Source organism: Homo sapiens, chromosome 12 (genome assembly GCF_000001405.40).
Source record: "Homo sapiens chromosome 12, GRCh38.p14 Primary Assembly".
In the NCBI taxonomy this organism is placed as follows: domain Eukaryota; kingdom Metazoa; phylum Chordata; class Mammalia; order Primates; family Hominidae; genus Homo; species Homo sapiens.
The window spans coordinates 76,935,227-76,943,869 of NC_000012.12; the positions used below are offsets into that span (position 1 = coordinate 76,935,227).

Sequence of the window (8,643 nt, forward strand, 5' to 3'; positions counted from 1 at the left end):
CAGATCCTGGGAAGACAAACTTCATAGTTAGACTGATTATAGGTGCACCTGTCTGTTATTCAATTAATTCACTTTGACCTGACTTTGTATACATGTTAAGCTTTTTAAAAGATACCCTATTTTTTACTTCCAAGTCTTTTACTTTGCTTCTCTGCCACCCTCTACTTCTATCCTTAAATCCAAACTAGGATTTAAGAACTCTCATTTTCTTTTTTTAAAATTTTATTTTATGTTATTTTAAGTTCTGGGATGCATGTGCAGGACGTGCATGTTTGTTACATAGGTAAACGTGTGCCATGGTGGTTTGCTGCACTTATCAACTCATCACCTGGGTATTAATCCCCACATGCATTAGCTGTTTGTCCTGATGCTCTCCCTCCCTGCCACCCCCCGACACACCCCAGTGTGTGTTGTTCCCCTCCCTGTGTCCACGTGTTCTCACTAGAACTCTCATTTTCTTAACTTTCCTAGACACTAAGAAAGCAGACCTTTAGTTTCCTAGGCACCATCATTCTATGGGATTTTCAGCTGGGATGTGCAATTCTTGTAACCACTTGACACATAGTTGGTCTTCGTTCTTCAATTCTCTTGAACTAGAAATTTTTCCTAGTGAACTCTGCTTCTTGTGACTCAATATTTTATCCTTTAATCTCAGCAGAGAAAATTAATTTATGGGTCTGGAGAACTTCTCTCCTGGTATGCATTCTTTTCCTAGATGGTCTTGTCTGGCCAATTAATGCCATAAGTTTATTGATTTCAGCCCAGTAACCATTTATTGTATATTGGTGTAGCCAGGCTCTGTGCTAGGCACTGGGGCTACAGAGTTTATTCAAAGCTAGATTTTGTCATCAAACAGTTCACAGACTCAATGGGGAGACAACCAGGAACATGAATGTGAACAATCCACTGAAGTAGATGCTGCAGAAGAGATAATTCTCCCTGTTTGGAATAGAAGAAATGGAAGTTAGGAACTTTTCAAAAAAAAAAAAAAAAAAAAAAAAGATAGTTTAGTTTTGAAGGGTAGTATTACATAGTAGAAGGAAGAGAAGGAAGACAGGAAGGAAAGAAGGAAGAATAGTTTTTGAAGGATTTTTAGCAGGAGAATGATATATTTTGATTAGCCAGGTGTGGTGATGCACGACTATAGTCCCAGCTACTCCAGAGGCTGAGATGGGAAAAACTGCTTGAACCCAGGGGATTGAGGCTGCAGTGAGCCATGATTGCACCACTGCACTCCAGCCTGGGTGACAGAGCAAGACCATGTCTCAGAAAAAAAAATTAGGAATAAAAAGGGGCAGAGAGATCAAATCAATATGTGCAATTCAATATTCTAAATCATTTCTGAAAGATTCTCCCTCGGGCCTGAAAGCTTAAGGGAATGAGTAACTCCTCCCTTCTCAGGCCCAGTCCCAAGGCAAAAGACCACTTGCACCAGCAGAGTGCGTCAGCAAGATAGCAGAAGCAGGAAGAGAGCTGGCCGGAAGAAACGTACCCCCTGAAGACTAAGAGGCCATCCAGGTACCACGTAGCAGTTACATCAGACTGAGACACTTCCTGTTTACAGAAGACTCTAAAACCCCTGCCCCGTCCTCATTTGCTACTGACGCCATTTTAGGCCTCAGCCCGCCTGCACCCAGGTGCTCACTAAAAATAGCGTGTTGCTCCACACGGCCTTGAGTTGTTCGTTGGTGCACTCTCAGGGTTCGAACCGATACAAGAGCCTTGCAATCTTTATAATCAGTTTTCTGATTATTGATGAGTCAGCAAGGGTAACACAGTTATAGATGACCAGGGTACTGAAGTATATTCTAGGGTGGACTTCAGGTTTAGGAGCCTGGAGCCTAATGGTAATGCTTCACATCTCCAGGCAGCATTTTTCTGCTTTAGTCAAGTTCACTTTTAATATTTTGACATAGCCAGGGAATATGCATTCTCCAACTTGCTGGAGGAGTAAAGAGAGTAGGAAGAAGGAGAGTACCCTTCCAAATTCTGATAGCATCAAGCTGATTCTCAAATTTATATAGAAATGCAGAGGGTCTAGAAAAGCCAATACAATTTGGAATAATAAAAAGCAAAGTAGACGACTTATATGATCTGAATTTAAGAATATAAAGCTACAGGAAGCAGGATAGTGATTATTGTCATAAAAATAAAAATGTAGACCAATGGAATAGTAGCACAGAAAAAGAGCCACACATTATAGCTCGTTCATTTTTTAAAAAAATTTTATTTTAAGTTCTGGGATACAAGTTTACATAGGTAAACTTGTACCATGGTGGCTTGCTGCACCTATCAACCCACCACCTAGGTTTTAAGCCCAGCATACATTAGCTATTTATCCTGATGCTCTCCCTCCCCCAACAAGCCCCAGTGTGTGTTGTTCCCCTCCCTGTGTCCATGTGTTCTTATTGTTAAGCTCCCACTTGTAAGAGAGAACATGAGGTGTTTGGTTTTCTGTTCCTGTGTTAGTTTGCTGAGGATAATGGCTTCCAGCTCCACCCATGTCCCTGCAAAGGACATGATCTCATTTCTTTTTATGGCTGCATAGTATCTCATTCACTTTTGACAAGGGTGTCAAGGCAATTCAATGGGGCAGAGGGTAATCTTTTAATGGTGCTGAAGCAGCTGGTTATTCATATGGAATAAAATACATTTCAGCCCTTCTATCACACCACACATTAGCTTGAAATTATCTTGAAATAGATCATAGACTTAAATTTACAAGATAAATATAAAAAACTTTCAGAAGAAAACATAGGAGAAAATCTTAAGATGTTGAGGTAAGGAAAGACTTATTAAATAGGACACATGAAGTACCAACCTGTGATAGTTAATTTTATGTGACCTCTTGGCTGGGCCACAGTGCTGATATTTGGTCAAAGATTATTCTGGGTGTTTCTGTGAAGGTGTTTTTTGGAGAAGATTAACATTTAAATTAATGAAATTTGAATTACCCTCCATAATGTGAGTGGGCCCAATTCAATTAGTTAAAGGACTGAGTAGAACAAAAGACTGACCTTTCCTGAGCAAGAGAGAATTCTGCTGCCAGGGGTGCACTTGAATTGCAACTCTACCTTGAGTCTCCAGCCTGCCAGCCCACCCATGATATTTGAGACTCATCAAGCCTCCGCAGTGATGTGAACCAATTCTTTAAAATTCCTCTCTCTTTTTCTCTATCTCTCCATTCCCACCCCGCAAAACACACATCCAGTTGGTTCTATTTCTTTGGAGAACCCTAATAGAAATCCATGAAAGAAAAATGTATACATTAAACTTCATCAAAATTAAAAACATTTGCTCATCAAGACTCCATGAAGAAAACGAAAGGTTTGCCACAGACTAGCAGAAATCATCTGGTGTGCGTGTGTAGAAAAAAGGACTTGTGACCAGGCATGGTAGTTCATGCCTGTAATCCCAGCACTTTGGAAGGCCAAGGTGGGCAGATCACTTGAGCCCAGGAGTTCCAGACCAGCCTGGGCAACATGGTGAAACCCTGTCTCTACAAAAAATACAAAACAAACAAAAACCCTAACCGGGTGTTTTGGCACACTCCTGTAGTCCCGTCTACTCAGGAGGCTGAGGTGTGAGGATCAGTTGAGCCCGGGAGATCGAGCTACAGTCAGCCGTGATTGGACCACTGCACTCCAGCCAGAGTGACAGTGATCCTGTCTCAAAAAAACAAAACCAAACAAAACCAAGCTTGTATTCAGAATATATAAAGAATCTTACAGCTCCATAAGAAGAAGGCAACTGAACAGGCACTTTGCAAAAGAAGATATATGAATGACCAATAAGTGCATAAAAAGTTGATTTGTACAGAAAGTGGGCATTTTAAAGGAAAGCGAAGGAGTAGGGAGTGGGGAATGGTGGGGGCTTGAGCAGAGTCAGGGAAGTGGAAATTTACAAAAAGCAAGAGGAGAGTAGGGTAATTAACATGACCAGGCCATCTTAGTTTGTTAACTGGTTCTTGTTCAGAGGAGAAACAAAGTTCTCCTATCTTTGTGACAGTAGGTAGTGGTGTAAATTAGAACAGGGTGCCCACCTAAGTTAGACCCTTATCTTCCCACAGGAATTGGAAGCAAAACCAAGAGTTTCAAACAGATGGCTCTCAGCTCCCTGAGAAAAACTGTTTTAGGTGGTAGATTTATATCTCAAAATTCAGAGAAAAGATTTAAAATTGCAAACTTTCTAAAGTAACTGCTATACAACATAGATATGTATTGAAACTTCAAATTGTACTCCATAAATACGTACAATTTAAATGTGTCAATTTGAAAAATTAAAAAAAAAAATAAAGTTACTGCTCCAAGGGACCTGTCTACCTATTGCCAGGTTTTGGCTAAAACAAATACTAAATTCTCCTGGCAGCATTGAGCTTTCTCAGGCAGGCACTTCAAGGGAGGCTGAGGTCATTCTAGGGATGCAAACTTTAGCTGCTAGAAACGATGCTAGTGTTTGTTCAAGTCTCTTAGTGTGAGGGACTGGACAAAGTCATTCATGCTGAGAGTCTGCAGTTTTTATAGGTCAAGCTTCAGGCCTTGTCAAGAAGAGGACTCAGAAGAGCTCAACTAGAGGTTAGTCAAGAGGAGAGTCTTTGTCACTAATCATCGGGAAAATGCAAATTAGCACTAAGATGTCATTACACATGGAGAGGTGCTAAAAATATGACAGTGACAAGTGTTAACATTTGAGGATTGCTGTAGGGAATGTAGTGGTACAAATACTTGGGAAAACAGTTTGGCAGTTTCTGCATAATTAAGCAATAGTTACCATACTACTAAGAAATTTTGCTTCTGCATATTTATTTAAGAAAACTGTCCATCAAAAAGTGAATGCATAAATGGACTTGGTATATCCATACAATGGAATGCTACTCAGCAATAAAAAAAAAGAAACTACAAATAAATGCCACAAATAGATGAATATGAAAATCATGCGGAGTAAAAGAAGCCAGACAAAAAGTGCACAGACTACAACTTCATTTATATAAAATTCTATAAATTCAAACTAACCTATGATGGCAGAAAGCAGGTCAGTAGTTGTCTGGGGACAAAGGTGGAGGGAAAGATGAATTTCAAAGAGCATGAAAAAACTTTCAGAGGTGATAGAAATGTTTCTACCTTGATTGAGATAATAACTTCCTGGGAAAACTCATCCAATCTTTTACTTTATGTGCAATTTATTGCATGTAAGTATACTCCAATAAAGTATTAAAAATAAAATTTCAAATATCCATTCATACAAGCATTTATTTAACACCTTAATTTAAATTGAAGAAACAGGAAAGCTATTTTGAAATTTACCTTGGTTTTGCTTTTAATTGTGGTATCTAGATCAGGGGTTGTAAACTTTTTCTGTAAAAAGCCAGGTAGTACGTATTTTTGGCAAGTCACGTACAGTTTCTATAGCATATTTCTCTGTCTTTTTTTTTAATGACACAAAAAATGTGAAGATCATTTATAGCTTGTGGGCCATACAAAACAGGCTGCAGGCCAGATTTATTTAGGCCCAAGTGGGCCAACTTGACCTTCATTTTTTAATAATCCATTTTATTTTATTATTGATTTTTCAAACTAGACTCACTTTCATGATCTTGTTTGATGAATGATAATACATTTGGAAGGCTGGGTGAGCAGATGGTTCTTCATCTTAGCACAAGCCAGAAACTGACTACCAGGGAGCTTAAGTGGATTGCTACACAGTCAATTAGTGCCACAAAACTTTATCTGTAATATTCCATGTTTAGGAGGATCTAACAATTTGGGAAGGGAATTAAGAAAATATAAACAGAACCTGGCCTTGTTGTGCTTAAAATCGAATTGTCACCTCAGAACCTTATCATTCATATCATGAAATAATCTAAGCTTCCCTTCTTCTCTAGGAAATGCATTTTACTCATTAAAAGAATTTGTAGAGAAGCAAAATTTATAGCTGTTTCTTATATTACATCTTGATGGTATTTGAACTGCAGGAAACCTGCTTATAGCATTCCTTTGCAATAGCTATGTCACCAGAACAATTTTTTCAATATGAAATTCCGTAGTACATGAATGGCATGTTCGGGGTTAACATTTATTTTTTTTTCAGTAAAAGAACACAATCATACAAAATAACTTCCCTTACAAAAATGCAGACACCATCTTTAATTCTTTAGATGATGGATCCCCTTCATTTTGGTGATAACTTTACAGGTGTGTGTATGTGTTCAAACTAAACAAATTGTATACATGAAGTAAGTGGTTTTTGGATCTCCATTATAGCTAAATAAAATTGTTTTTTAAAAAAGAAATAGAACTTTCCAAAATCAATTGCAAAGAGGGAGGTATACATTTACATAGTAGAGTTTTACTTAGTATAAAATATGAGGAAAACAAACTTAACTAAATATTTCCATTTAATAATTCATAAAATAATAAAAATAGTAATATAAAGTATTTAAAAATCTGTATATATAAACATACATTTATATTTTATATATCACATATATCTCAAATGTTTCTATATTACATATGTCCCAAGGTAAAGAAACATGTATCGAACCTTTTTTTCACCCAGAGAATTAAGAAAACAAAACAAAACCTCCTGAAAAAACCCCAATTCTTTACAATTAGTAAACAATGGAATCAAATCTCATCTTCTTAATTAGAAAATTGGAAAAAATAGAAATGTTTGGGTAAAAGCATTTTTCATCCTGTAAAATTTTATTTATGAATAATTAAGAAAATGTTTAGAAAGTTACATGAGAAACTACATACTCTAAATAAAATGAATTATTAGATGTCCTCACATGAAAACTCAGTGTAATTTTCTAATGATTTCTTGTTGACTATGTTGCTTAGATTAAAATATGAAAATCAAAATCACATTTTGGAAGAATGATGAGTTACATTATTATTATTAGTTTTTGCTGCTTTCTTGGTGCGATTTACTTGGGCATGTACATAAACCAGGGATAATTTATCTGGTTTACACAGAATAGTGATTTCCCATATGATTTTACCCAGTTTCTGCAGGAACTCATTTTGAGCTAACTGCAGTGGTTAATAAATCATTAGAGAGAATTCACTTTGGGATAGGAGGAATTAATACTCAAGATTTCCAGACTCATTCCCTCAAAGGCCTCTCTATTAATCAAATGACTAACATTTCTAAAGGCAGCAATAGACACCATATGTACTTTTGCAGGATATAGAAATTGTATTAAGCATTGTGCTTGGAAGCATAATGATGTCTTTTCAAATGAGTTTGCACTTCTTTCTGACTCACAGGGTAATTTGATGTAGAGATTGAGTTAAACAGTTGTGGACTTCTTTAAGGCCATTTAATTCTGAAGAATGCAAAATAAAGATGACAAACACTGGAAAAATGTGAAAAAAGTTTCTAAATGTCAGTGTTATTGGGAACAGACAGAAGGGAAAACGTATTGCAGGATCTTTATTCAGGGAATGCATTGAAGAATCTTGTATTCTTATAATCCTTCCTTTCAAAGCATACATTTTAGAGTTTCCTGGGGGAATCAGCCCTCCAAAATGCATTAATGATCCATCTTACACTATGGAAAATTGGTGTAGAGCAGGCCAGGTGCTCCTTTCTTGATAAGGGTTGATTTGAACTTCTCTCAGAATTTGGTTAGTCCTAGGAAAATTTGTAACAAAGACATTCTTGTGATAATTCTGATATCTCTTGTGTGTTGGGCCATACACTATAGATCTGCCAGCAGAATCATAGTCATAAATGTACAAACTGCATTGTATAAATGTTCACATGTACAAATGTGTAATTCTAGCATCTGGAAAACCACTGCAGATGCCAGCTGCCACCCTCAGTGCTCTGGACACTCTGAGACCCAGCTCTGGTTGTTTTTGCCTCACTTTTGCTCCACATGGGAGCTCCAGCTTCTGGTGCCAGCAAGCTAAGTTTCCAGCCTTGCAGTATGGCATGTTAGGTGGATGGTCTGTGCTGGTGAATTTGCTTCTTGAGGCAGAAGCTACCAAGGCTGCAGGGACAGTCATTAGCACATAAGGAGGCTGTCCCTTCCTGCCAGCTGGTCTTATGTCACTGTGGCTTGGTGCCTCTGGAAAAGAAGTTTATTAGGCAGCCAATGTTACTAGTAATTTTTCAAGATATTCAGATAGCAAGATATCTTAACAGAGTACACACATACTTCTACATACCTCACATTCACACAAACACACTCATACACACACACAGACACACACACAAATTAGAGACAGATAAATCTTTCCTGTCAATCATAATGACAGAAACTTTATAGATGCTAAACAAATACTAGGTTATAAAGGCAGAGTTGATTATTCACCATAGTTTTAATTAGGCAGGAGAAGAGAGCTGTTGAGTCAAGTTTTAATGCAAGCATTATGTCTACAAGTATAAAAAACAAAAACAACAAATACAGAACCTTGAACAAAATACCCTCAAGCTTGATTTCCAACTGAATAAATTGATAGCTAATTTTGGCAGATGCACTAGTAATCCACGATTCTAAGTCAGCATACAAATTTCTGTATCCCAATTTTTCTCATGCAGGCAAGAATCCTGCAGACAAATGACCCAAAGAGCCTTCAATGGGAAGCTTATAACCTTGCCATTCAGGATCATCAAACTGGTCAGAAGAGCGAACAG

General features: G+C 37.5%; 1 annotated feature.

Moving 5' to 3' along the window:
* Positions 840–2,039: an enhancer, noted in NCBI's record as "MED14-independent group 3 enhancer chr12:77329846-77331045 (GRCh37/hg19 assembly coordinates)". NCBI's record gives its function as "activates an origin of replication core promoter dependent on BRD2, BRD4, P300/CBP and CDK7 cofactors, and independent of MED14, by STARR-seq in HCT116 cells {active_cell/tissue: HCT116}" and the evidence as "EXISTENCE:reporter gene assay evidence [ECO:0000049][PMID:35650434]".